The sequence below is a fragment of the Homo sapiens genome, chromosome 17 (genome assembly GCF_000001405.40).
Source record: "Homo sapiens chromosome 17, GRCh38.p14 Primary Assembly".
In the NCBI taxonomy this organism is placed as follows: domain Eukaryota; kingdom Metazoa; phylum Chordata; class Mammalia; order Primates; family Hominidae; genus Homo; species Homo sapiens.
Genome location: NC_000017.11, coordinates 42,798,740 through 42,825,915, shown reverse-complemented (window position 1 = coordinate 42,825,915; position 27,176 = coordinate 42,798,740). Strand labels below are relative to the sequence as shown.

At 45.7% G+C, this 27,176-nt stretch overlaps 2 protein-coding genes and 1 non-coding gene across 13 annotated transcripts, besides 6 other annotated features; 2 read left to right on the top strand and 1 right to left on the bottom strand.

The window, feature by feature from the left end:
* Window positions 705-1,271: an enhancer, noted in NCBI's record as "H3K4me1 hESC enhancer chr17:40976662-40977228 (GRCh37/hg19 assembly coordinates)". NCBI's record gives its function as "activates a minimal SCP1, AML or CMV promoter by ChIP-STARR-seq in naive H9 embryonic stem cells {active_cell/tissue: H9 hESC(naive)}" and the evidence as "EXISTENCE:reporter gene assay evidence [ECO:0000049][PMID:30033119]".
* Window positions 1,272-1,840: an enhancer, noted in NCBI's record as "H3K27ac-H3K4me1 hESC enhancer chr17:40976094-40976661 (GRCh37/hg19 assembly coordinates)". NCBI's record gives its function as "activates a minimal SCP1, AML or CMV promoter by ChIP-STARR-seq in naive H9 embryonic stem cells {active_cell/tissue: H9 hESC(naive)}" and the evidence as "EXISTENCE:reporter gene assay evidence [ECO:0000049][PMID:30033119]".
* Window positions 1,276-1,405: an enhancer, noted in NCBI's record as "active region_12226". NCBI's record gives its function as "activates an Ori minimal core promoter by ATAC-STARR-seq in GM12878 lymphoblastoid cells {active_cell/tissue: GM12878}" and the evidence as "EXISTENCE:reporter gene assay evidence [ECO:0000049][PMID:35858748]".
* Window positions 1,634-15,784, top strand: BECN1 (beclin 1). 8 transcript variants are annotated; one of them, NM_001313998.2, is made up of 12 exons: window positions 1,634-1,761; window positions 2,037-2,168; window positions 5,075-5,142; window positions 6,307-6,368; window positions 7,039-7,129; window positions 7,236-7,372; window positions 7,501-7,695; window positions 9,862-10,008; window positions 11,243-11,392; window positions 11,908-11,968; window positions 14,119-14,261; window positions 14,988-15,782. In NM_001313998.2, the coding sequence occupies exons 2-12, from the start codon at window positions 2,039-2,041 to the stop codon at window positions 15,154-15,156; spliced, it is 1,353 nt and encodes a 450-aa protein (NP_001300927.1). In that variant the 5' UTR covers window positions 1,634-1,761; window positions 2,037-2,038; the 3' UTR covers window positions 15,157-15,782. The 8 variants fall into 8 exon arrangements, with proteins under 8 accessions (NP_001300927.1, NP_003757.1, XP_005257817.1 ...); NM_003766.5 differs by having other exon boundaries at window positions 1,634-1,783; XM_005257760.5 differs by lacking the exon at window positions 14,119-14,261 and having other exon boundaries at window positions 14,988-15,784.
* Window positions 1,841-2,407: an enhancer, noted in NCBI's record as "H3K27ac-H3K4me1 hESC enhancer chr17:40975527-40976093 (GRCh37/hg19 assembly coordinates)". NCBI's record gives its function as "activates a minimal SCP1, AML or CMV promoter by ChIP-STARR-seq in naive H9 embryonic stem cells {active_cell/tissue: H9 hESC(naive)}" and the evidence as "EXISTENCE:reporter gene assay evidence [ECO:0000049][PMID:30033119]".
* MIR6781 (microRNA 6781) lies at window positions 1,973-2,036 on the top strand. Its single transcript, NR_106839.1, has one exon. It is a non-coding gene; the product is annotated as a microRNA 6781 (primary transcript).
* Window positions 5,817-5,866: a silencer, noted in NCBI's record as "silent region_8548". NCBI's record gives its function as "represses an Ori minimal core promoter by ATAC-STARR-seq in GM12878 lymphoblastoid cells {active_cell/tissue: GM12878}" and the evidence as "EXISTENCE:reporter gene assay evidence [ECO:0000049][PMID:35858748]".
* Window positions 6,937-8,136: an enhancer, noted in NCBI's record as "CDK7 strongly-dependent group 2 enhancer chr17:40969798-40970997 (GRCh37/hg19 assembly coordinates)". NCBI's record gives its function as "activates an origin of replication core promoter dependent on BRD2, BRD4, P300/CBP, MED14 and CDK7 cofactors, with strong dependence on CDK7, by STARR-seq in HCT116 cells {active_cell/tissue: HCT116}" and the evidence as "EXISTENCE:reporter gene assay evidence [ECO:0000049][PMID:35650434]".
* On the bottom strand, window positions 14,329-27,131 carry CNTD1 (cyclin N-terminal domain containing 1). 4 transcript variants are annotated; one of them, XM_024450569.2, is made up of 7 exons: window positions 27,086-27,131; window positions 22,221-22,296; window positions 21,520-21,691; window positions 20,032-20,194; window positions 19,098-19,242; window positions 18,024-18,148; window positions 14,329-16,551 (listed from the first exon to the last, which is right to left on the bottom strand). In XM_024450569.2, the coding sequence occupies exons 1-7, from the start codon at window positions 27,096-27,098 to the stop codon at window positions 16,499-16,501; spliced, it is 747 nt and encodes a 248-aa protein (XP_024306337.1). In that variant the 5' UTR covers window positions 27,099-27,131; the 3' UTR covers window positions 14,329-16,498. The 4 variants fall into 4 exon arrangements, with proteins under 4 accessions (XP_024306337.1, NP_775749.2, NP_001317151.1 ...); NM_173478.3 differs by lacking the exon at window positions 27,086-27,131 and adding an exon at window positions 26,680-27,055 and having other exon boundaries at window positions 18,052-18,148; NM_001330222.2 differs by lacking the exon at window positions 27,086-27,131 and adding an exon at window positions 26,898-27,055 and having other exon boundaries at window positions 18,052-18,148.

The window sequence follows — 27,176 nt, the reverse complement described above, 5'->3', positions numbered from 1 at the left end:
GTGAGACCACATCTCTACAAAAAATTTTAAAAATTAGCTGGGCATGGTAGTGATCACCTGTGGTCCCTGCTACACTGGAGGTTGAAGCAAGAGGATTGCTTGAGCCAGGAAGTCAAATCTGCAGTGAGCCATGTTTGTTTGTTCCGCTTCACTCCAGCCTGGGTAACAGAGTAAGACACTGTCTCAAAATAAAAATAAAATAGACAATACTACATACAATTTTGGGTTAAGCAGTGGTTTCTTTTACACCAAAAGCATAAACATTGGACTTTATTGAAATGAAAAACTTTTGGCCAGGCACATTGGCTCACACCTGTAATCTCAGCACTTTGGGAGGCCACAGTGGGGGATTGCAAGGGGAGATGGGAAATGTTCTAAAACTGGATTATGGTGATAGTTGGGCAACTGTGTAAATTTACTAAAAATTATTGAACTGTACATTTAAAAAGTGTGAGTCTTATGGTATGTAAATTATACCCCATAAAGTTGTTTTTAAAAATGAAGTAAGTCCCTCTGCTCAAGACCCAGTCATCTCATCTCATTCAAAGTGAAAGCCAGAGCTTTACAATCCCTATAAGAGCCTAGGTGGTAGCTCAACACTCTTACCTCCCTCACCCCATTTTCTGTATCTCTTTTCGTTGCCCATCTTCTAGCCACACCAGCCTCTGCTAATCCCCAAACAGGTACCCTCTGTGCTCTTGCTGTTCCCTTGGCCTAGAATGCTCTTCCTTAAGATGCAGGTAAGAATTCCTTCCTCACCTTCTTCAAGCTTTTATTTGAATATCACTTTCTTTTTTTGTTGGTTTTGTGTGTGTGTGTGGGGGGGGGGGGTTTGAGATGGAGTTTCCTTCTGTCGCCCAGGCTGGAGTGCAGTGGCATGATCTCGACTCACTGCAACCTCCGCCTCCGGGGGTCAAGCGATTTTCCTACCCCAGCCTCCTGAGTAGCTGGGATTACAGGCGCACGCCACCATGCCCAGCTAATTGTATTTTTTAGTAGAGACGGGATTTAACCATTTTGGCCAGGCTGGTCTCGAACTCCTGACCTTGTGATCCGCCCGCCTCGGCCTCCCAAAGTGCTGGAATTACAAGCGTGAGCCACCATGCCCGGCCTTTTGTTGTTGCTGTTGTTGTTCTGAGATGGAGCCTTGCCCTGTCGCCCAGGCTGGAGTGCAGTGGCCCGATCTCGGCTCACTGCAACCTCCACCTCCCAGGTTCAAGCGATTCTCCTGCCTCAGCCTCCCGAGTAGCTGGGATTAAGCTGGGATTATAGGCGTGCCCCACCACGCCCGGCTAGTTTTTGTATTTTTAGTAGAGACGGGGTTTCACTGTGTTGGCCAGGCTGGTCTCGAACTCCTGACCTCACGTGATCCGCCCTCCTCGGCCTCCCCAAGTGCTGAGATTACAGGCGTGAGCCACCGCGCCCGCCGCCCCCTGAATTTAGAGAATAGCGGAGCCTCCCCATTCTCTGCGGCCTTGGCTCCTACACTTCCCGTGGTAACCTTGTTCATCCGCTGAAGCCCGCTGCTTTTCCCAGCCCGGCCTCTGGGGGCCGCTGCCGGGCCTGTGAGCCTGTGGACCAGGAGCTCCTGCTGCCGTCGTAGCGTCACGTCCGGTCTCGGGCGGAAGTTTTCCGGCGGCTACCGGGAAGTCGCTGAAGACAGAGCGATGGTAGTTCTGGAGGCCTCGCTCCGGGGCCGACCCGAGGCCACAGTGCCTCCGCGGTAGACCGGACTTGGGTGACGGGCTCCGGGCTCCCGAGGTGAAGAGCATCGGGGGCTGAGGTGGGACCTTAGAAGGGAGTCTGGGAACCCTCACGGCTCTTATTGGAGTCCCTTCCCTGACCCTGGGCTCTAAACTGCCTTTGCTCAGGCTGTCCCGGAAGCAGGTCCTCCCCGTATCATACCATTCCTAGAGGGAACGGCGCAGGTTGGGACTTCCCTCCCTTTACCATCGTCACCAAGGCATGTGGTAACCCCGGGCCGGAGGTCAAGGGCGTCGCTTCTCCCTAATGTTGCCTCTTTTCCACGGCCTCAGGGATGGAAGGGTCTAAGACGTCCAACAACAGCACCATGCAGGTGAGCTTCGTGTGCCAGCGCTGCAGCCAGCCCCTGAAACTGGACACGAGTTTCAAGATCCTGGACCGTGTCACCATCCAGGAACTCACAGGTCAGCGAGACCCTTGGAAAGAGGGTGGTCAAGAATGTGGAAGGTGGGCAGCTTTGGTGATATAATTCTTATGGTGGCTGTGTAGTCTGCCACAAACTCATCGTGTGAACCTAGGAAAGTCACTTCATCTGGCTCCCTGTTTTCTCCTTGGAAACATAAAGCATTCTGACATTGTGGACTTCTGAGAGCTTTCCGACCGGGCGCGGTGGCTCACGCCTGTAATCCCAGCATTTTGGGAGACCGAGGCGGGCAGATCACCTGAGGTCAGGAGTTCGAGACCAGCCTGGCCAACATGGCGAAACCCCTCTCTACTAAAAATACAAAAATTAGCCGGGCGTGATGGCACGTGCCTGTAGTCCCAGCTACTCGGGAGGTTGAGGCAGGAGAATCGCTTGAACCGGTGAGGTGGAGTTTGCAGTGAGCTGAGATCGCACCACTGCACTCCAGCCTGGGCAACAGAGCGAGGCTCCGTCTCAAAAAAAGAGAGCTTTCAGTAGCAAAAGAAAGATCCTTATTTTCTGCTCCTGCTGTTTCAGAGAAAAGGAATATGTATATATAATAATAAATGGTATTTTTTGAGGACTTACTATATAGTAATACCAAGTGCATTACACGTATTACTTCATTTAGTCCCTGTAACAACCCGTACGGGGTATACCGTCATTACATCATTTTTCAGATGAAGAACCGAGGCACAGAGAGGTTAAGTGACTTACCTAAGGTCCAACAGCTGGTAAATGGAGTAGAGTCTTAAAGTCTGAAGAATTTGCTGGATGTGATGGCTCACGCCTGTAATCTCAGTGCTTTGGGAGGCTGAGGTGGGAGGATCGCTTGAGCCCAGGAGTTCAAGACCAACCTGAGCAACCTAGCAGAGATCTTGTCTCTAAAAAAAAAAAAAAATTGCTGGGTGTGGTGGGTGGTGGAGGCTGAGGCAGGAGGATCACTTGAGCCCAGGAGGTCAAAGCTGCAGGAAGCTATGATCATGCCACTGCACTGCAGCTTGGGCAACAGTGCAAGACCCTGTCTCAAAAAATAAATTAATTAAAAAGGCCAGGAGTGGTGGTTCACACCTGTGATCCCAGCACTATGGGAGGCTGAGGCAGGTGGATCACTTGAGCAGGAGTTTGAGACCAGCCTGGGCAACACAGTAAGACCCTGTCTCTATAATTAAAAAAAATAAAAAACCCCAAAATCCCGCAAAGTCAGAAGAATTCAGATTAAGTCAGACAGTAAAAGAGAAGACTGAATAGGCAGCTTAAATAAGCTTATGGGCCTGGAGTCAGCCTGCTTGGGTTTAAATCCTGGCTGTCATTTACTAGCTGAACAACTTTTTGCAAGTTACTTCATTTCTCCAAGCCTTGGTTTCTGATTTTTTCTGTAAAACGTTAAACTGCCTCATAAAGAATTTATAAAGTTCAAATATGACAAACCACAGAAACACTTAGGAATTTGCTGGGCAAATAGTATTCAATAAGTATTAGCTGCTATTATTACCTGGTTTCTCTTTCTTGAGGGGAAATTAGCTCTTTTTTTTGTTTGTTTGTTTGAGACGGAGTCTCACTCTGTTGCCAGGCTGGAGTGCAGTGGCGCGATCTCGGCTCACTGCAACCTCTGCCTCCCGGGTTCAAGTGATTGTCCTGCGTCAGCCTCCTGAGTAGCTGGGACTGCAGGCACACACCGCCACGCCCAGCTAATTTTTGTATTTTTAGTAGAGACGGTTTCACTATGTTGGCCAGGATGGTCTCGATCTCTTGACCTTGTGATCTGCCCGCCTCAGCCTCCCAAAGTGCTGGGACTACAGGCGTGAGCCACCGCGCCTCTTAAACTCTTTTAATAACAATTTTTGACTTTTTATTATGGAAAATTTGAGACATATATAGTCAAGAGAATAGCATAGCCTGCCTTGTATTCATCATCCAGCTTCAATAATCAGCCATATTCTCACATTCTTATGTTGTCTACACCTCCATTCACCTCCCATCCTCTGCTCAATTATTATGTTTTTCACACCTTTTTAGAAAGGTAAATTGTCATGACTTGAAATGTATGAATCTTAGCTGTACATTTTTGACAAATGGATACACTGATGTAATCTGGATCGTTGCAATTTAGCAATGTTTCATCTTCCTAGAAAGTTTCCTTATGTTCCCTCCTTGCTATTCTGGGGGAAACAGGATGTTTGCTTTTGTGATGGAAAATTTCAGAGTATATCATGAACTCCTGTGTACCCATCACCTAGTTGCAACAATTATCAACACATATTTAATCAAGTTTTGTCTACAGCCCCATCCATTCCTTCCCACTCTGAATTGTTTTGAAGCAAATCCCAAACATAAATACTGTAAATATTTCTGTATTTTTGACAGATAAGGATTCTTAAAGATAAATGATACCGGCCGGGCGCGGTGACTCAGCCTGTAATCCCAGCACTTTGGGTAGCTGAGACGGGTGGATCACGAGGTCAGGAGATCAAGACCTGGCCAACATGGTGAAACCCTGTCTCTACTAAAATACAAAAAAATTAGCTGGGCATGGTGGTGCACGCCTGTAGTCCCAGCTACTTGGGAGACTGAAGCAGGGGAATCACTCGAACCCGGGAGGCAGAGATTGCAGTGAGCCGAGATCGTGCCACTGCACCCCAGCCTGGCGACAGAGCAAGACTCCATCTTAAAGTAATAATAATAATAATAATAATGATACCATTATGCCTTAAAAAATTGAACATTTCTTTAATCTGATTTAATGGGGGTGAGGAAGACCACAGATTCTTTTGGTGTAAATGGTACTTTAAGAAAAATTGGAGGTGAGGGTGGTGATGAGAATATTTCACATTCTTTTCCCATACTTTCAGATGCCCTCCTGCTTTAATAAGACTGTTTCTGACCCAATATTTTCCTTGCCCTTAGCTCCATTACTTACCACAGCCCAGGCGAAACCAGGAGAGACCCAGGAGGAAGAGACTAACTCAGGAGAGGTAATAGAAGTGCCCTCTCCCCTATCCTCCTCATGTAGTAAACATTCCAAATGAGAGATATGATATGAAAACAGGAATGCAGGCTTGGTTTCTGCAGGCTACTTGGCGCTTCTAGAGCTCCCGGACTTTTGGGATCTCTGGGTAATGAGACATTCTACATGATCAGGCTGCTATGCACCATTGGAGGTACAGATCTGCACCTGAGGTCACAGGGTTACTGAATTAGTCATTTTAAAATGTTGGAAAGGGCTCTTTATTTGAAGCAGAATTATAAATTATTGTAGGTTGGAGATGGGATGACCTGTGTGTCCAGGTCGTTCTAGAGCATTGATTTGCATCTGTTGTTCTAGCTAGTTGTTAATATCCACTCCTTTCCATTCTCAAAAGCATCCTGGTTAGGACAGTGAATTGTATGATTGCCCTGGACAGAAAGAATTGTCAGTGTTAGAGAACATGTCATTTTAAGCTGTGATAATATCAGGGATCCTGTGGAGCAACATCCTGTGAGATACTATTGAATACACACCTGAGATTTCTTCTCAAGTAGCAAGGGAGCTGGAGTATTTATTTACCCACAGCTGCCAGTCACTGGGGGAGTGCTGATGTCAGGTTTAGTGGAGGTCATTAATTCTGGCCAGCGCCCCCTGCAGGCAGTGAAGAGTCCAGGAGCCAGAGAAGCCTTTAAGCAAGGAGGCAAAGGGGTCTGGCATTTGAAGTCAATAGATGCTGTGAGATTTTGGTCACATATGAGTAATCTCAAAATACTGAAAACATATAAATTTTCTACTTTGTACTGTGGCAGACTTCATTGCAGTCTGATCTGGCTTTTTCCTTGTACTATGATTTAGGGCATTCTGTCCTCTGCCCCTGACTGCTAAGTGTTGAGAAATGCAAATTTAACCATACATAGAGTGTAACATAGTTAGGAAATGCTGTTCCCCACAAAAAAAAAATCAAATGGGACTTAAGGTTTGTCTGTATCGTGGGTCCTTTCTTAGTCCACATACACAAGGATTGCTTCGATAATACCCATTTTTTAAGTCTCTGTGGTTTATCAAGTCTTGTGGTTATCAAGACTAAAGCCATATAGTTCTGAGGCTGTTTGGGAGATGAACTCTACCTCTAAGCTGCCAGAGTTGTAATGCCCTCTTATTTCTTTCCCAGGAGCCATTTATTGAAACTCCTCGCCAGGATGGTGTCTCTCGCAGATTCATCCCCCCAGCCAGGTGCCTACTACTTCTCAGCCCCCATTCCTTGCCAAAGGCTAGTAGAATTTTAATTAAATCCAGGAATCGAGACCTGGAGCCAGGTGATAGAGATGCATCATCACCTAGCCTTTTGGCCCTTTCAGAAAAGATGTATTCCCTTATACCTGGCCCGTCACCTTCCAGTATGGATTTTTTCCTGTAGCTGTTCACAGAGTGGGAAAGGATAGTAGCTTTAATGATGAAGTATTGAAAAAAATTGAGGGAGTGATTGACCAATCACCAAGAGATGGGCTCTTGAGAAGTTTCAAACTAGCAAATGTTGTTAGATGTTCAGGTCCTTAGTTCTCATTGCTGCAGGTAAAGAGCTTGCTGGCAAGGGGTATAATATTTTCTAAAATGGCCTTTCCTGGTTCTCCCTTCTTTTCCACTGTAGACATATGAATTTTTTATGCTCCCTCTCCCTCCTTAGTCCACCAAGGCCAACCTTCATGCTGAGTGTCCCTGTGGAAGACCAGCATGGCCTTCCTTTGGGAGAGAGGTACCCTTGGGAGGTCAGTCGGGCTAGGAGTGGGTATGTTCCTTGAGGCCCCTCAGCTGGTGCTTGAGAGTCTCTGCCACTGGCATTGTAGTAGGTGGAGGAAGCCTCTCTGTTCCCTCATGTGGCCCGTGGGCGGGGGGCTGTCTGCAGGATGATGTCCACAGAAAGTGCCAACAGCTTCACTCTGATTGGGGAGGCATCTGATGGCGGCACCATGGAGAACCTCAGCCGAAGACTGAAGGCAAGTCGGCCCCATTCCGGTGGCAAGCAGTAGGCCTGGCTGGGAGAGTGGGTAATTGAGCAGGAAGCATGGGGGAGGCCCTACCCTGACTCTCCCACACTTCCAGGTCACTGGGGACCTTTTTGACATCATGTCGGGCCAGACAGATGTGGATCACCCACTCTGTGAGGAATGCACAGATACTCTTTTAGACCAGCTGGACACTCAGCTCAACGTCACTGAAAATGAGTGTCAGAACTACAAGTGAGTGTCTCCAGAGCCAGGGCTCAGAGCTGTTACTGCTCTGAGACTGCTTGGCCCTTACCCAAGAGCCGTACTCCACTCAGGCAAATGGAGCTCTAGTAAGTATAGTCTGCCTGTGTCTTTGGCAGACGCTGTTTGGAGATCTTAGAGCAAATGAATGAGGATGACAGTGAACAGTTACAGATGGAGCTAAAGGAGCTGGCACTAGAGGAGGAGAGGCTGATCCAGGAGCTGGAAGACGTGGAAAAGAACCGCAAGATAGTGGCAGAAAATCTCGAGAAGGTCCAGGCTGAGGCTGAGAGACTGGATCAGGAGGAAGCTCAGTGAGTGCTCACCCTGTTCTATCTTCTCACACTCGAGGCTCCAGGAGAGGAAATGGCTTCCAGCTGAATGTGTCTGAATAGTTTGTAAACTAGTCAGCTGTCAGTCAGCAGCATGCCTGCCCCAGATCCTGCATATTGCTTCCATGCCCTTTTTCTAGAGGTTTGTTGGGAGAGTTACCTATGAAGAGTCAGCATGATTAAGTGAAAAAAGTATGTTGGTTAAATAGTGCAGAAACCAGAGCTCCAGTCTTGGCTCTGTCCTGTAGGGAATGGGCTCATTTGGATGAATCAGCCACTTTCTAGCCATCCTTAGCTGAAAAGATGAGCTAATTAGCCTACATTTGTTCCCTCCAAGCTTAAACATTTCATGGGGGCCAGGTATGGTCGTTCATATCTGTAATTCCAGCACTTTGGGAGGCCAAGGCAGAAGGATCACTTAAAGCCAGGATTTAAGGCCATCTGGGGCAATATCAAGTGAGACCCCATCTCTACAAAAATGAAAATTAAAAAAAAATTAGGCTGCTGTGGTAGACCTGTAGTCCTAGCAACTACTTAGGAGGCTGAAGTGGAGGATAACTTGAGCCCAGGAGTTTGAGGTTACAGTGTGCTGTGATCACACCTCTGCACTCCAGCTTGGGCAACAGAGTTGAGACCCTGTCTCAAAAAATAAAAACATTATAGATGTCCTTGACCTGAGAGAACCCTCTCTCTAGTGGAGGACACACAGTGTCCATACTAACTGAAGTTGTGGAAATGAAGGATAGAGAAAAGTCCATTTTTTTCACACAGTAGTATAACAAGTTTCACTGGAAGTGGGGTATAGTAACTATTTAAAGGACAGTAAGTGTATAGAAATGAAGCTTTAGAAGGCCAATTATGGCCAGTTCATGGAAGAAGCCACTGTTTTTTTGTTTTTTTTTTTTTTAGAAACAGAGTCTTACTCTGTCATCCAGGCTGGAGTGCAGTGGTGCAGTCATGACTCACTGCGGCCTTGACTTCCTACACCTAAGCAATCCTCCCGCCTCAGCCTCCCAAGTAGCTGGAACTACAGGCGCGCAACACCATACCTGGCTAATTTTTGTATTTTTTATAGAGATGGAGTTTCCCCATGTTGCCCAGGCTGGTCTTGAACTCTTGAGCTCAAGTGATCCACCTGCCTCAGCCTCCCAAAGTGCTGGGTTTACAGGCATAAGCCACCATGGCCAGCTGGAAAAAGCCACTGTTTTTTGTTTTTGATTTTGGTTTTTTTTTGAGACAGAGTCTCACTCTGTTGCCTAGGCTGGAGTGCAGTGGCATGATCTCAGTTGTCTGCAACCTCCACCTCCCAGGTTCAAGCGATTCTCCTACCTCAGCCTCCCAAGTAGCTGGGACTACAGGCGTGCGCCACCACGCCTGGCTAATTTTATTTTTTTAGTAGAGACGGAATTTCACCATGTTGGCCAGGCTGGCATCTAACTCCTGACCTCAGGTGATCTGCCCACCTCAGCCTCCCAAAGTGCTGGGATTACAGGTGTGAGCCACTGCACCCGGCCCAGAAGAAGCAGAAGCCACTCTTTTTTTTTTTTTTTTTTGAGACAGAGTCTCGGCTCTGTTGCCCAGTCTGGAGTACAGTGGTGTGATAGCTCACTGCAACCTCTGCCTCCTGGGTTGAAGCAATTCTGCCACTTCAGCCTCCCAAGTAGCTGGGACTACAGGTGTGCACCACCACGCCTGGCTAATTTTTGTATTTTTAGTAGAGACAGGGTTTCACCACATTGGCCGGACTGCTCTCGAACTCCTGACCTCAAGTTATCCACCCGTCTTGGCCTCCCAAAGTGCTGGGATTACAGGTGTGAGCCACCACGCCTGGCCCCAAGAAGCCACTCCTAACCCATTCACCTCACTTCTGAAAAAGATCAGAAATAAGAGGTTTTTTGCCCTGGTTTGGGAGAATTCTTTTTTCCTCCACCTTTTTGCATATGGGCAGCTGGAATTTGAGACATTTCTGTTCCTTCCAGGCAAAACAGCTAGGACATACATGTTCCTCAGAATGGGATCTATGCCAAATATAAAAGATGCGAGAGCTAGATGTAACGATGATCACTAAAGAATCGTTCATAGTGTGGTGAGAGAGAAACTTTAGCCCCCAAGCTAACAGCCTTCAATGGCCCCCTTGGCTGCTCACAGGTATCAGAGAGAATACAGTGAATTTAAACGACAGCAGCTGGAGCTGGATGATGAGCTGAAGAGTGTTGAAAACCAGATGCGTTATGCCCAGACGCAGCTGGATAAGCTGAAGAAAACCAACGTCTTTAATGCAACCTTCCACATCTGGTAATGAGAGCTAGGGGATGAGGAGCACTGCACATATCTAGACCTTAGCTGTTGACCACTAAGCCTGGGTGCCCACTTCCCACAAAAGAGGGACTGTAGGTTATCTTCACCCAACTAGGTTTCTTTCATTCATAGTGATGGGATAGGCACAGTAGGGATTGGAATTCTAGAGCTTGGTGACATCCGCCCTTCTAAAGAAAGGAAAAGGCCTGAGCCCTTCAGCCACTTAAAAACCTGGTAAGCTGTCTGGTGCTGATTTCTTATCCCCACGGTGTTTGATGTTCCATTAATTTAATAACTGTTGAGTGTCTACTCTGGAAAAGGCACTGTGCTGAGTGCTAGGAGGGCAACAGCAAAACAGTATGCAGTCAACCTTCTAGTTGCATATAATCTGGTGGAAGAGATGGATAAATAACAAGCAGTTGTAATGCAGTGTGATGATGGTAAACCCAGGGTGCTGTGGGAACACATAAGGGCACTTGATCCAGTTTGGGGAGGCCATATGGAGAGTTTCCCCATAGGGGACTTACGTTTAAACTGAGAGGTAAAGTAGAAGTCTGCAGAGAGGGGGTTGTTCCTAGCAGAGAGAACATTATGTGCAAAGAAATGGGAAAGAGGGAGTGGTGAATTCAGAGAACAGAAAGGAGCTTATTGTGACTGAAGATTGAGTGTAAAGGGGAGAGTGGCCGGATATGAAACTGGAGAGTTACCAGTTCCTGAAGGATCTCGTAGGCCTCGTTAAGAGGTTTGGACTTCATCCAAAAGGCAGAGGAGACACTGAAGCATTTTAGCTAGGGAAGTGACGTAATTACACTTGTATTCGTGAATGATGGCTTTTCCTGCACCATGGGGAATGACTTGGGGTAAAGGGGTGGAATCGTTGGAAAGGATACTCATCAGTAGGAATCTAAAGGAAAAGAATAGTAGCATTGAATTTGGAGAAAAGTGGAAAGATCCAAGATATTTAGCAGGTAGAATCAGGAGAGGTTGGCAGTTTTGCACGGAAGGAGCTGAGGGAGCATTCAAGGATACCACCCAGGTTTCTGCTTTGGCATCTGAGCAGCAGGGAAAAAGATGATGACTCAAGTTTTGGACATGTATTTAAAGTGCCAAGTACAGCTTGCATATATGGACTTGAAGATAGATTTAAGCTAGGTTTGGGGTGAGAGTGGGAAATGTCAAACTTTTTAAGTAATCCCTGTATTTCCCCCCACCTTTCTGCCTTCCTCTGTAGGCACAGTGGACAGTTTGGCACAATCAATAACTTCAGGCTGGGTCGCCTGCCCAGTGTTCCCGTGGAATGGAATGAGATTAATGCTGCTTGGGGCCAGACTGTGTTGCTGCTCCATGCTCTGGCCAATAAGATGGGTCTGAAATTTCAGAGGTAGGAAGTGTAGCCCTTTCTTGGGGAGTGATGTGCATTGATATAATTTGTATCTCCAACCTGGTACTGCTGTCCACCATGTCAGGAGCCCTTGCTGCCCACAGACTGGGAGTTTTCTGTGGCTGAAGAGCTGTCAGCATCTGATTTTCCCCTCATCACAGGGCTCTCTCCACTGATCACACAGTCACTGAGTTGCGTGACTATAGCATAGTTCCCAGCCTACAGTCCCCAGAGCCTTAGTGTTCCTCAGGATATTTTCAGTTTTTGTTTCTTAAATTTAAACCAAAACATAACATTTGTTCATGGAAGGCCCCCAGGCAATTATATAATAAATGTAGTTTGTTCATTAAACAAAATCTTTTAAACATGGATTCAATGGGGAGGTGGGAGAGGGAGTTGAGCATAATAAAAGAAGCCCTTGGCCAGAATGAAGAGTGAAATCATTGGGTTGTAACTTCCCAATAATCACTTTGGGAGGAGTCCTGTATCCATCTCTGTTTGTATCTCTATTTTAGATACCGACTTGTTCCTTACGGAAACCATTCATATCTGGAGTCTCTGACAGACAAATCTAAGGTACTCTGTGAAGCTCCATTTTCACTGGAATACAGAGTTCTTATATCTCTTAAGAAAATGGATGGTTTGCTTTGATATTGGCATTCAATTTATTTTTTAGACCTAGATATGAAGAGCCAGTATATTGTTCAATATCTTGTCTAGTTCAGGTTTAGTTTTGGGGGTCTTGTAGACAGAAATCAGGTTTTGACAGTCTGTTGAGAAGGGATATGGGCAGGTCAGAAGAGGGTGTGTGCACTAGGCTAGGAAAAGAATCACCGTGAGATAGATGTTTACAGGTTGAGTATCACCAGAAGTGTTTTAGATTTTGGATTTTTTTTTTCAGATTTTGGGATATTGGCATATAGATACTAAGATATCTTGGGAATGGGACCCAAGTCTAAACACAAAATTCATTTATGTTTCTTCTTCTGAGACAGAGTCTTGCTCTGTTGCCCAGACTGGAGTGCAGTGGCACGATCTCGGCTCACTGCAACCTCCGCCTCCCAGGTTCAAGTGAGTCTCCTGCCTCAGCCTCTGGAGTAGCTGGGATTACAGGTGCCCACCACCAGGCCCAGCTAATTTTTGTATTTTTAGTAGAGATGGGGTTTTACCATGTTGGACCAGGCTGGTCTCGAACTCCTGACCTCAGGTGATCCACCCGCCTCAGCCTCCCAAAGTTCTAGGATTACAGGCATGAGCCACCGTGCCTGGCCTGTTTTATATATACCTGATACATGTAGTCTGAGGTAATTTCATACAATATTTTAAATAATTTTGTGCATGAAACAAAGCTTGTATACATTGAATCATCAGAAAGCAAAGGGCCGGGTGCAGTGGCTCACGCCTGTAATCCCAGCACTTTGGGAGGCCAAGGCGGGTGGATCACAAGGTCAGGAGATTGAGACCATCCTGGCTAACACAGTGAAACCCCGTCTCTACTAAAAATACAAAAAAAAAAAAAAAATCAGCTGGGCGTGGTGGCAGGTGCCTGTGGTCCCAGCTACTCGGGAGGCAGTGGCAGGAGAATGGCGTGAACCTGGGAGGCAGAGCTTACAGTAAGCCGAGATTGCGCCACTGCACTCCAGCCTGGGCGACAAAGCAAGCCTCTGTCTCAAAAAAAAAAAAAAAAAAAAAAAAAAGCAAAGGTATCAGGTATGGAATTTTCCCCTTGTGGCATCATATCAATGGTCAAAAAGTTTCAGGTTTTGTAGCATTTTTTATTATTTTTATTTATTTATTTATTTTGAGACGGAGTCTCACTCTGTCACCCAGGCTGGAGTGCAGTGGCGTGATCTCGGCTCATTGCAGGCTCTGCCTCCCAGGTTCACGCAGTTCTCCTGCCTCAGCCTCCTCTCCTCCCGAGTAGCTGGGATTACAGGCGCCCACCACAATGCCTGGCTAATTTTTTGTATTTTTGGTAGTGACGGGGTTTCACCATGTTATCCATGATGGTCTTGATCTCCTGACCTCATGATCCACCCGCCTTGGCCTCCCAAAGTGCTGGGATTACAGACGTGAGCCACTGTGCCTGGCATATTTTTATTTTTTTTTCTTTTCTTTTTGTGGGTTTTTTTTTTTTTTGAAATGGAGTTTCGCTCTTGTTGCCCAGGCTGAAGTGCAATGGCATGATCTCGGCTTACTGCAACCTCCGCCTCCCGGGTTCAAGCAATTCCCCTGCCTCAGCCTCCTGAGTATCTGGGATTACAGGCATGCACCACCACGCCCGGCTAATTAGGTATTTTTAGTAGAGACGGGGTTTCTCCATGTTGGTCAGGCTAGTCTCAAACTCCCAACCTCAGGTGATCTGCCCACCTTGGCCTCCCAAAGTGCTGGGATTACAGGCGTGAGCCACTGCTCCTGGTCTATTTATTTATTTTTCTTTTCCCATGTACTCTTCCTGGAAAGGTTTTGTAGCAATTTGGATTTTTGGATTAAGGATGCTCAACCTATGGTACATTTTCATTGATAGTGAAACAGTTCTAAGTGCATTGTTACTTGCCCAAGCTTATTGTAGTTGTTCAAATCTATGGAAGATAGAGTCCAGCTACAATACAAGTTTCCAGTGGGATACAGACAGAACATGACTTGAGAGATTGATAGGATTGGGAACAATCTCTGGAAGCCTTTCTTGGTGCCAGATCCATAGCCAGTTTTCTCTTCTTGGGCAGGAGCTGCCGTTATACTGTTCTGGGGGGTTGCGGTTTTTCTGGGACAACAAGTTTGACCATGCAATGGTGGCTTTCCTGGACTGTGTGCAGCAGTTCAAAGAAGAGGTTGAGAAAGGCGAGACACGTTTTTGTCTTCCCTACAGGTCAGTATAGCGCAATGCTGAGTGAACTTGTATAGGACCAAATTGAACAGAATTGAAGCAGCAGTAATAATGGAGGCAAAACAGTATAAATGGTGGGAAAGCAAAAAAATGGCACAGAATCACATGACATTGATGGGCAGAGACTGACCCAGTACTGCAAGCAGGACAGAATGTGACCACCTAGTCCTTGGAGTAGAAGAATGTTGCCTTAGATGGTTTAGGGGGTTTTCTTGGCATAGAGCTCAAGCCTCCTCTCCAGTTTCAAGAAGGTTTTTCCCTGAAGCCCTTGGAAATACACAGGAATGCTTCTTTTGATTTTTCTAGGATCCCATTGATGGATGGAAACTCTAGTTTTTACTTAGAGTAAGGCTGCTTCTATCACCCCAAAACAAAGCATTTCTTTTCTTCTGCCTCCTTTCTCCCCCGCCAAGTTCAGGGATGCCTAGGAAAACAGCAAGAAGTACTGTAACCCTCACTCACCCCTACTCCAGGCTTCTCTTCTCTTTGGGTGTGTGTCCTGTCCCTGTACTCTGCAATGACAATGAGGCTCTTGTGACAGTCTTCTTGATTTTTGGCTTTCAAGCAAATCCAAAATACACTATCATTCCTCACCAAGTGTTCTTTAATAGATAAAATGACGTGAATGGTCCCATGATCAAGTCCCTGCCCCGAACTTACTTAACTCAGATCTCAGTTACTAATGAGTTTTGCTCTGTCCATCTGCAGGATGGATGTGGAGAAAGGCAAGATTGAAGACACAGGAGGCAGTGGCGGCTCCTATTCCATCAAAACCCAGTTTAACTCTGAGGAGCAGTGGACAAAAGCTCTCAAGTTCATGCTGACGAATCTTAAGTGGGGTCTTGCTTGGGTGTCCTCACAATTTTATAACAAATGACTTTTTTCCTTAGGGGGAGGTTTGCCTTAAAGGCTTTTAATTTTGTTTTGTTTGCAAACATGTTTTAAATTAAATTCGGGTAATATTAAACAGTACATGTTTACAATACCAAAAAAGAAAAAATCCACAAAAGCCACTTTATTTTAAAATATCATGTGACAGATACTTTCCAGAGCTACAACATGCCATCTATAGTTGCCAGCCCTGGTCAGTTTTGATTCTTAACCCCATGGACTCCTTTCCCTTTCTTCTCTGAAAAAAACTAATTTAAATTTGCTTTTCTTTTTTTTAACTGAGTTGAATTGAGATTGATGTGTTTTCACTGGATTTTTATCTCTCTCAACTTCCTGCACTTAACAATATGAAATAGAAACTTTTGTCTTTACTGAGATGAGGATATGTTTGAGATGCACAGTTGGATAATGTGGGAAAATGACATCTAAGCTTTACCTGGTCACCATGTGATGTGATCAGATGCTTGAAATTTAACACTTTTCACTTGGTTCTTATACTGAATGCCGACTCTGCTCTGTGTTAGAGATATGAAATGGTGTTTGATACTGTTTGAGACATTATGGAGAGATTTAATTATTTGTAATAAAAGATTTGCTGCAGTCTGAAAACTGCCCAGGGGTGCACTGTTGGGTTTTTCTTTAAAATAGAGTACTTTGTATTCTGGGAGAATCAAGTTCTAATGAATGCAGGTATGTGGAAATTCTGTTGAAACTTCTTTAGAGTTAGTTTTAGTTTTAAAAAAAGACTCTAGTAAAAATAGATAGCTGTTGAGGAAGCCTTGTTTGTGTAGATCTGAATAATGGAACAGAGATGTTAAACTAATTTTAAGGGGAAATAAAGGCTACCTCCTTGATGCTTAGTCAAGGTCACCCAGATAGTCTGTATTTGAGCCCCTGATTAATACTGATTGCAATGCCTGATGTTCCTCTTAATGAAATTAAGCTAAAAGTATAAATACCTTGTTAAACAAAAATGAAACAACTAATCTGTCTCCACCTAGCTTTTTAACATTTTCAGGCTGATATGACAAAAAGGGCATGCTCGTCCACCTTAACTCTCTCTGATAAAGGAAAAATAAGCATGAAATTGGCATACAAAATACAGTTCAAAAGAGACTTGGAATTTTTGTACCCTTAGTATGAAAGTAAACAGAGGGAGGCATGAGTGCAGTGACGGATGGCTGTTTATATTTGGTGGATTCAGCCTCCCTCATGTGTTAGAGGAAGCAACAGTCTTCAGAGCTCTGGCTGCCAGGTGGGGAGGAATAGACTGCTGTCTCCCCGGAGTGTTGGCTCCCACTCCGTGAGTCAGGATTGCATAAGAGAACTCAGCAATGCTTGCCAAGGCAATACCAGTGATGCTCTGCAAATGCCCCACAACCTTCAGAAATAGAGACAGATTTCTTATTACTAAAAAATCTCAACACATTTTAGTGCACAAACACACACATTACTTGGGATGTTCTCTCAAGGCAATTGTAAATTCATTTTTCTGAAATCCAGATTCCAGTGTTTGCCAATGGCCAAATTATATTAGGATACCTTTGCCCTGATAATGTTAGCATGGAAACTTTCTGGTAGACATTTCCCTCTGCTGGAGATAAGTTTTGTGAAATATAAGAATGATATTTGGGCCTTGACATTTTCATTATTTGAGAAGATATAATTGTTGGACTTTGTTTTGTTTTGAAACAGGGTCTCACTCTGTTGCCCAGGCTGCCAGGCTGCAATGCAGTGGTGTGATTTTTGGCTCACTGCAGCCTCCACCTCCTGGGCTTAAGTGATCCTCCCACTTCAGCCTCTGGAGTAGCTGGGACTACAGGCGCAAGCCACTATGTCCAGCTACTTTTGTTTATTTTTTGTAGAAATGAGGTCTCACTGTGTTGCCCAGGCTTGTCTCCAACTCCTGGGCTCAAGCAATCCTCCTGCCTTGGCCTCCCAAAATGCTGGAGTTACAGGCGTGAGCAACCCTGCCTGGCCTTTGTTGTTGTTGTTGTTTTGTTTGTTTGTTTGAGACAGGGTTTCACTCTGTCGCCCAGGCTAGAGTACAGTGGCGCAATCATGGCTCACTGCAGCCTCCAACTCCTGGGCTCAAGTGATCCTCCCATCTCAGCCAAGTAGTCCACATAGTTGTGGGACTGCAGACATGCACCACCATGCCCGGCTAATTTTTTTTTTTTTTTTTTTTTTTTAATGAGATGGGGTCTCACTCTGTCTCCCAGGTTGGAGTACAGTGGTGAAATCTTGGCTCACTGCAACCTCTACCTCCCAGGCTCAAGGGATCCTTCTACCTTGGCCTCCTGGGTAGCTGGGACCACAGGCATGTGCCACCACACCCAGCTAATTTTTTAAAATTTTTGGTAGAGACAGGTCTTTTCCATGTTGCCCAGGCTGGTCTCCAACTCCTGAGCTCAGGCAGTCCACCCACCTCGGCCTCCTAAAGTGCTGGGATTACAGGTGTGAGCCACTGCGCCCAGCCATGACTAATTTTTAATTTTTGTAGAGACAAGGTCTTGCTGTGTTGACCAGGCTGGTCTTGAACTCCTGGGCTCAAACAGTTCTCCTGCCTTGGCCTCCCAAAATCCTGGGATTACAGGCATGAGCCACCGTGCCCAGCCTGGAGTTTAACATAATAGCAGGTTATCGTTATAAAGGGAAATGAACAAGCCGAACTTGGGCCTCCATTTCCAGTTTTATAAAAGGAAAACAAGGAAACATTTCAGCCCTATCCTAGATTTTTCCCTCTCAAATCTTGCACACCCATCCTAATCCTGGGTCTTGGCACTTCTGTAGGTTGTCCTCTGTTTTCCTTTAACTGATGGGTGAAATGCTTTCTGTTAAATGAATTCTCACCATGCTGGTCCTGCTCAGTGGTGCATACCTGGCTCCAACACTCATGGTTTTGGATGAAAGCACTTGCTGCAATGATTCCTACTGCCAACAGCATGAAGTCTTCCTTCACTGAAGTAAACTTTTCCCTGAGTGATTAAAACCACATTAATTTTAAAGCTAGAATGGAACTTGATCTTCCAAATCATAGGGTCATGGAACTTCAACTATGAATTATTTGTGTCGATCATCTTGGATTTTTTAGACATGGAAGGAAATGGTCAAGTAATAGCTCATTGACCTGCTCTCCCATTCTCCCCCAACTTAACTGGGATTAACATGAGCCTTATGTCTTGAATGGTTTATAGGCCTTTTTTAGTTCTATCTGTTTCCCTAACAATTGTAACTGTGAGGCTTTTAACCAGTCTGACTTTACAGTAATCAAACACTCTTGTCCAAGTTGCAACCTTGTGACTGTTTTTTTTTTCTTTTTTCTTTTTCTGAGACGGAGTCTCTCTCTGTTGCCCAGGCTGGAGTGCAGTGGCGCCATCTCAGCTCACTGCAAGCTCCGCCTCCTGGGTTCACGCCATTCTCCTGCCTCAGCCTCCCAAGTAGCTGGGACTACAGGTGCCCGCCACCACGCCCGGCTAATTTTTTGTATTTTTAGTGGAAACGTGGTTTCACGCTGTTAGCCAGGATGGTCTCGATCTCCTGACCTCGTGATCTGCCCGCCTCAGCCTCCTGAAGTGCTGGTATTACAGGCATGAGCCACCGCGCCGGCGACTGTTTTTTTTTCTAAATGACTGACCAAAGCAGTCCAGTAACCTTGAGTTTTATGCAGCTATAAAGGAAAAACTAGGAAAGGAAATATATTAATTAAAGTAATTTAAATTTAAAAGTAAAAGCCTTTAGGGTTTTCCTGACCAGGCTCAGTCACCTGCATCCAAACAACATATTGGAACTAATGAGAACCAGGTAGCCTGAGTAGGTTATCTGGGACTGGATGCCATGCTAGGCTAATTCCATTCCCCAAGTTCTTGTGGTCTGTCTCCCCTTCCCTGTTCCTGGAAGGAGCCTACCCTATAGGAGTTGTCTTACCCTTGCAGCTGACTGGGAGTGGAGTTCTCAATTGAAGCCCTCAACAGGCTCTCATATATGGGTTCATGCAGAAGATAGACCAGGTCGAGCAGTGTCAGGCAGGTTGCATGCAGCCTCATGGCTGGAACCAAACAGCCATTGTATCCTAGATGGAGTATGGGAATGATAGGGAGAATTTATGATCATGTCTTCTCTGATCATAACCACAGTTGTGACATAAAGCTGTTGAGGTGCTAATGTGCTTCCTGGTTGCTATGTTCTACTACAAGAAACCTGTTTAGCTGGAGATCAGTTTTAAAGGACAAAGGTAGAGGTAGAGAAACCTCCATCTGTAGTATACATACAATTAGCATGTAGTTGTCCCTCTCTTATCTTATGCCTCTCTATAAAGTCACCTCTTTGATCCTGCAATAAGAGTGCCTAGTGAGTCCAAACAGAAGCCAGTTGCTAAGACCTCTGAGCTTTCCCTGACAAGTGCCGGAGGGAACACCTGTTTCAGTCATCCAGAGACACCATCAAGCTTCCTACTGTTCCTCATTGGCAGGTTCTGCCCACTGTTCCCAAACCCCTGTGCACATTTTTTTTTTTTTTTGAGAAGGAGTCCGCTCTGTTGCTCAGGCTGGAGTGCAGTGGCATGATCTCGGCTCACTGCAACCTACACCTTCCAGGTTCAAGCAATTCTTGTGCCTCAGCCTTCCAAGTAGCTGGGATTACAGGTGCCCACCACCACACCCAGCTAATTTTTGTATTTTTAGTAGAGATGGGGTCTCACTATGTTGCCCAGGCTGGTCTTGAACTCCTGGCCTCAAGTGATCCACCTACCTCAGCCTCCCAAAGTGCTGGGATTACAGGCATGAGCCATGCCCCCCCATGCACATTTTGTATTGCCTTCTATGGAAGTCTCCAACCCATATTCCCTAACACAGTAAGATACCTAAAACCTCTAGGAGCGTCTCCACATATGCCAGGGGAGTGGGCAGATTAATTCGGAAGTTCAAGGACTTCAAAACATCAAGCTCTGATTCCAGCAGTTCTTCTTTAGTGTGTAGATAGCCTAGAGCCTGGAGGAAATTCAAGACTGTAATGTTGCTGATTATCTGAGCAAAGAAAAGAGAGGGAAAGAAGAATGTTAGGATAAAGTTCATACGTCTTGACAGAGTGCACAAAGCCCTTCATAATCCAGCCTATTCCTTCATCTTCAGTCTTGTCTCTTGGTAATTCCCCCTCACACTCTGCTTGTCATTCCAAATTGCTTACAGTTCCCAAACCCACCATGCTGTCCCTCTCCAAGCCACTACACAGGCTGTTTTCTATACCTGGATCTCCCTTCCTTTCCTCCCTAATTCCTCTCCCTCTTCTCTTAGGATCCTCCCATCTCCCACCCACCCCATTTCAAGAAGTCATTTTCTCTAAATACACTTCCTTGACTCTCCAAGGCTGATGAGGTACATTTATAGCCCTCTGTATTTACATTAATCAGAGCTTTTTTTTCCACACTATTTGTATGTGTCTTTTCCCATTACATAATAGGTTCCTTGTGAGCACAGACAATATTTGTACTGTTGTAGCCATGGCACCTGGTGCAGCATCTGGCCATAGAATAAACTCAGAAAGTATTTGTTGAATGAATGATATTTTACTGTATAGGCATTGGGTAGTGATGTGGAAACATTTTTTTCCCTTATAAATGTAATAGTTTGCTTCTACTGTTGATAGGTATGCTGGCAATTCAGGCACCTTATGTAAACTGCCCTTGAGTCCAAGGGGGGAGGAAAGGTGACCAGTATGAATGATGGCATCTGTCCCAATTATACTTTGGGAACAGAACTTCAGGCTATTTAATAACTGCCTCTGTGTGAGTGAGAGGGGGAGAAAGATCATGTGTGTGCGTGTGTGTGTGTAGAAGGTATGCTTAGGAAGCATAATTACACTCTGGAATTTCCATGAGTTGTATCACCTAACCTAGGAGTAGGTTTCTTACAGCTACCTTGTTTTTTTGTTGTTAGTTTTTTTGAGACAGAGTCGCTCTGTCGCCCAGGCTGGAGTACAATGGCACGACCTCAGCTCACTGCAACCTCCGCCTCCCAGGTTCAAGCAATTCTCCTGCCTCAGCCTCCTGAGGAGCTGGAATTACAGGTGTGCGCCACCACACCTGGCTAATTTTTGTATTTTTAGTAGAGACAGGGTTTTACCATGTTGGCAAGGCTGGTCTTGAACTCCTGATCTCAGGTGATCCACCTGCCTCGGCCTCCCAAAGTGCTGGGATTACAGGCATGAGCCACCGCGCCCGGCCGTTGTTTTTACTTTGTAATTTATTTATTTTCTTCTTGTCACTGACTTGAAGCTCATCACAGCCCCCCTTTGTATAAAAGCTGGTTTCTTCCTAACACTCAGGTGCCCATGAGCAACCCCAGCTCCTTACTTTGTTTCGGAAGGAAAGTTTGCTGGCCAGCTGAACACATGACACAAGACGGAGAGTAAACTTGTTGACAAGCTGCTGTTTCAGAGCCCTCCAATTCTGAGACTCTCTCTTATTATCTCTTGGCTGGATTGTGGCTTGCCTGCAGATGTTCTCTGCCTGTTTTACCATAAACCTGTAGGGAAGGGAGGGAGAGTAAACAATCCTCACTCACACAAACTAAAGGGAGTTTAACTTGCTGGTTAAGAAATTTACATTTGAGGCTGAGCATGGTGGCTCACACCTGTAATCCCAGCACTTTGGGAGGCCAAGGCAGGCAGATGACTTGAGCCCAGGAGTTCAAGACCACCCTGGGCAACATGGCAAAAGCCCATCTCTAAAAAAAAAAAAATAGCCAAGTGCGAAGTGTGGAGGCACATGCTTGTAGTCCCAGCTACTCAGGAAGCTGAGGTGGGAGGATCACTTGAGCCCAGGAGGTCAAGGCTGCAGTGAGCCAAGATCCCACCAGGCACTCCAGCCTGGGTGACAGAGCAAGACCCTGTCTCAAAACAACAATAACAACAAAGAAATTTATATTTGCAAGTTAGAGAGGGTGTAAAACCAGGTCTCAGGGTAAGGGGCAACTACTCATACTTTCTTAAAGATGTAGGTACATTAGCCACTCTGAGAGGTGCCGTTCAAAAGGCATTATGCCAGGGCTTTACCTTTCTAGGATTTCTACAGCCTGGTAGCTCACAGATTTCTCCAGACACCATTGTTCAGACAGGAGAAAAACAAACTCTGCCAAAACAGGAAAAAAGAGCCTAATTCACAAGATGCAACCAAAACCACTCTGTGAACTCTTGGCATTGTGTAAAAGCCGTGATGGGGCCAAGGGAAGAGGGTCAGGAGGTGAGAAAGATGAGACTAAAACAACCAAAGCTGAGCTTAGTTTCTTTTGCTGCCAATAGGCAGATCAGAGACATGTAAAGGAGGCTGACTGAGTGCCAAAGACAAGGGCTTACCAAGCCCCCTCAGTGACCCTTGAGCCTTCCTGTGGGTTTCAGCTGATAAAAGGCTTGGCCAGTTACACACAAACATACCAGCTGGTCTATGTGACCTCTACACCATGCTGGGAACCCCCAGCTTCAAGGAAGATTCTTGGATGGATAAAAACCCTAACTCCTATATTCTGTTTTCTGTGGAATGTTGGCAGGAACAGAAAGATCCCTCCTGGAGCTTTGATATTCTTTATGACACTGTTTGTTTAGTAACCACCCTCTGGAGAACTCCCATTGCTTTACAAACACAAGTCACCTTACAGCTGGACACCATCTCTCCACCACCAGTTTGCTGGGTAAATCTGTGGTGGCTGAGCCTCTCCCCAGGAGCAAGTGTGTTACTGTGAAGTGGCTTGTTTTGAAGAAACATCCCCTAAATTGGAGAACATAGCCCAATTTAGGGGGAGGGAGTCATTGGGAAGGTGGGAAGGGTGAGATACCTTGGCAAGATTTTAGCCTGCCTCTGTTTCTCTTTGAAAGAACAGCTCCAGATAGAATTATATTTATCTTGCAATATCATTAGAGGGTGGAAACAAGGGTAAATGTCAGTTCTCAACAAAGAAAGCTCCTACAGACTGAAGACCTTTTAGCATTGATCCGTAGAGAATTACACATTTAGTCAAATAATCATATGTCTTCAGAGAAAACTTAACTTTCTTAGAAAATTTAGTCAAGCTTACACAAGTAACAATCTACTCAACACACATTACACATAGATAGATGTACAAAACCTCATCGTTACAGAGGCTACAGTTTGGCTAGCAATGTCCAATGCAGGACAGAATTAGTTTAAGCAATTCAGCATAATACCCTAGAACATATAATTGTGTCTCTTATTAGTCATTTTATTTGCTGGACTTTAGGCTTTATTTCTTAGTTTTGTTCTTTGTGTATGTGTGCAGTTGTTAAGTTTTGGTTTGGTTTTGCTCTGAATTATCTGAGCATTTGTTTCTGTTTTCCATTTTAATTTGCCAAAAAAACTGAGCTTGGATTAGGTGGAATGGATGAGGGTTACACCTTTCCCTTGCTATTGGCCCCACCTCCTCGATAACAAGCATACTCAGATCTGCTATTAACTAAAAGACCCTCCCCTTTTAACCTCTCTCTTTCCCATCACTGTTGAATTTTTTTTTAAATAAATAAATAAATAAATAATAAATAGACGGGATTGTCCTATGTTGCCCAGGCTGGTCTCAAACTCCTGGGCTCAAGCAATCCTCCCATCTCAGCCTCGCTGTTGAATTACTTGAAAGCCTGGCTTACACACCCACTGCTTCCACTTCATCGTTCACTTCCTAATTTTCTATCTGTTGGCTTCTACCTTTCCTAACTTGCTGAAATGATTCTCAGAGGACAGTAAATATGTCCAAATTGTTAAATATCATGGCTTTTTGCAATCTTTAGTTCTGTTGATATCCCTAAAGCATCTGAAACTTCTGACCATTATCCTTTTCAAAGTCTCCTCTTGGCTGCCAAAAGTCCCTTGGTTCTGTTCCTATCTCCTCCTTTTATTTCCTTCACAAGTCTTCTTACTCCAATTCCCTGAACACAAAGTGTTTTCCCAAGGAACTGTCCTTGACCTGCTTTTCTTTTCTCCTTCTAGGAGCTTATCCTCTGCCACAGTTTCAACAATATCATTGTGAAGATAACTTGAAAACCTTGATCTCCATTTCTGACCTCTCTTCTAACCTACTCTTTGAATAGTCTACAAGAACACTTCTTTTAGATGTTCTGCAAACACCTTAAACTCAGCAGATCCAAAACTAAAGCTATTATACACACACACACACACACACACACACACACATATATTATATATATATATATATATATATATATATATATATATTTTTTTTTTTTTTTTGAGACAAGGTCTCACTCTGTTACCCAGGCTGGAATGCAATGGCGTGATCTTGGCTCACTGCAACCTCTGCCTCCCGGGTTCCAGCCATTCTCCTGCCTCAGCCTCCCAAGTAGCTGGGATTACAGGTACCTGCCACCATGCCTGGCTAATTTTTGTATTTTTAGTAGAGATGGGGTTTCACCATGTTGGCCAGGCTCCAAAGCCATTATTATCTTTCCCAAACAAAAGTCACTTTTCCTCCTGCTTTATTTATGTAGTGTGTCTGTGTTTTTTGTGTTGTTTTTTTTTGTTGTTGTTTTTTTTTTTTTTGGGAGACAGAGTCTTGCTCTGTGGCCTAGGCTGGAGCGCAGTGGCACAATCTTGGCTCACTGCAACCTCCGCCTCCCAGGTTCAAGCCATTCCCCTGCCTCGGCCTCCCGAGTAGCTGGGACTACAGGTGCCTGCCACCATGCCCAGCTAATTTTTGTGTTTTTAATAGAGACAGGGTTTCACTATGTTGGCCAGGCTGGTCTCGAACCCCTGACCTCGTGATCCACCCGCCTCAGCCTCTCAAAGTGTTGGGAATACAGGCGTGAGCCACCGTGCCCGGCCGTGTCTGTGTGTTTCTTTTAATGACCACTATACTTCCAGTCTTCCAGGCTCAACCGTTTAGCATAGTCACGTTTTCCTCCTTCACTTCCTAAATTTATCCACAGCAGAACCCTAGACTTTGCCTCTAGAATGTTTTTAATCCACCCTCCCTTGTTATTCCCTCTGCCCTATCACCTAGCCTACTGACATTGACTCTACCTGTCTGCCTACATCCCATCTCCCTCTGGTTTAATCCATCCTTTACCTCCTTTACATCACTGCCAAAATAATGTTTACTAAGGCAGGGTTACCATCGTATCCCTTATTTTAAAACCTTCACTCCCTTATTTAAAAACCTTCAATGTCTTCTTGGTTTCCTACCAAACCAAGGATAAACTCTTCCCCTTGGCATTCAAACTTCCACATGGAATGTCTCCAAACTACCTTTCCAGTATTAATTTCAACTATTCTTCCACATGCACTGGCCAACATGGACTACACTGTACCCACATGCACCCTAAGCACCCCATTTCCATAGCTTTACTCATGCTACCTCTTTTTGGTAGAAACACTGTCTCCTTCCTCCCCCTTCACCAACCCAATGTCCTCCTTCCTTCAAGGTCTGCCTGAAATGTCCCGATGCCTGGGCCATCCCCTGAATTCTTCCTATTACCCCATCGCTCCTCTCAACCCCCATAAACGCTTGTTTTATTTCTCTCTGACGTCTCTTATCTAACCATAGTACCTAGTCATTGCATATTTGTTCTAATATCTCCCCCAAATTGCACATGGTTTGAAGGCAAGACCTCTATCTCTATTTCATCTTTCTTTTCTCTTTTTTTTTTTTTTTTTTTTTAGACAGAGTCTCGCTCTGTCACCCGTCACTCAGGCTGGAGTGTAGTGGCGCCATCTCAGCTCACTGCAAGCTCCGCCTCCCGGGTTCATGCCATTCTCCTCCCTCAGCCTCCGGAGTAGCTGGGACTACAGGCGCCCGCCACCACACCCGGCTTTTTTTTGTATTTTTAGTAGAGACGGGGTTTCACCATGTTAGCCAGGATGGTCTCGATCTCCTGACCTCGTGATCTGCCCGCCTCAGCCTCCCAAAATGCTGGGATTACAGGCGTGAGCCACCGCGCCCAGCCTTTTTTTTTTTTTTTTTTTTTTTTTTTTTTTGAGACGGAGTTTCATTCTTGTCGTCTAGGCTGAAGTGCAATGGCACGATTTCGGCTCACTGCAACTTCCGCCTCCTGGGTTCAAACAGTTCTCCTGTCTCAACCTCCCGAGTAGCTGGGATTAGAGGTGCGCGCCACCAGTCCTGGCTAATTTTTGTACTTTTAGTAGAGACAGGATTTCACCATGTTGGTCAGGCTGGTCTCGAACTCCTGACCTCAGGTGAACCTCCCACCTCAGCCTCCCAAAGTGCTGGGATTACAGGTGTAAGCCACCATGCCTGGCCCTCTATTTCATCTTTCTAGCCAAGCGGTGCCACTCAAGTATTCCATACATGTCGAAGAAATCAAGGGGAGGGCACTGTTGTGACTTATCCATCACTATATCCCCAGCACCCCACAGAGAGGTGTTAGCAAACATTCTCTGAATGAATAAAATCAACGGAATCTCAAGGTCGGTGCCTGAAAGACACAAGCCCCAGTCTCCCAAGAACCCAGCACCCCGGCCCTGCAGCCGCACCCACGATCTGGGGCTCCCTGAAGCGGCCCAGCCGCCCCGAAGCCTCCCTCACTGCTTGCTCATTCTGCTGGGCCAAGTGAAGCAGGGCGTCTTCAATCGTCTCTGTGGCGACAACTCCAAACTGAAAGTCAACGAGGGAGGCCGATCGTGGCCTCATGGGTCCGTCCATATTCACGAGCCTCTTGGGGCACCTGGACGGGTTCACTGGATCCACATACCGACCCCCTTAGCTCCTCTCCAGTCTTCTGCCACACCCTGGATTCCTCGTCCCCTTCCAATGAGTGTGTCGTCGCCTCAAGTCTGAGGAAAACCCAATTACCACCACAGCCTCGAACCCTCCACAGCTTTTTCCCGCCCCAACGGCCACGGACTCCTCAGCCAATCAGAAAGCACGTCCGCTTCTCACCTCCCGCGTCCATCCCCTGTGCCCGGGAACCGCGGCTCTGCCCCGCAAAGGGCACGCGGACTACAACTCCCAGAGTCCACTGCAGCGGCCA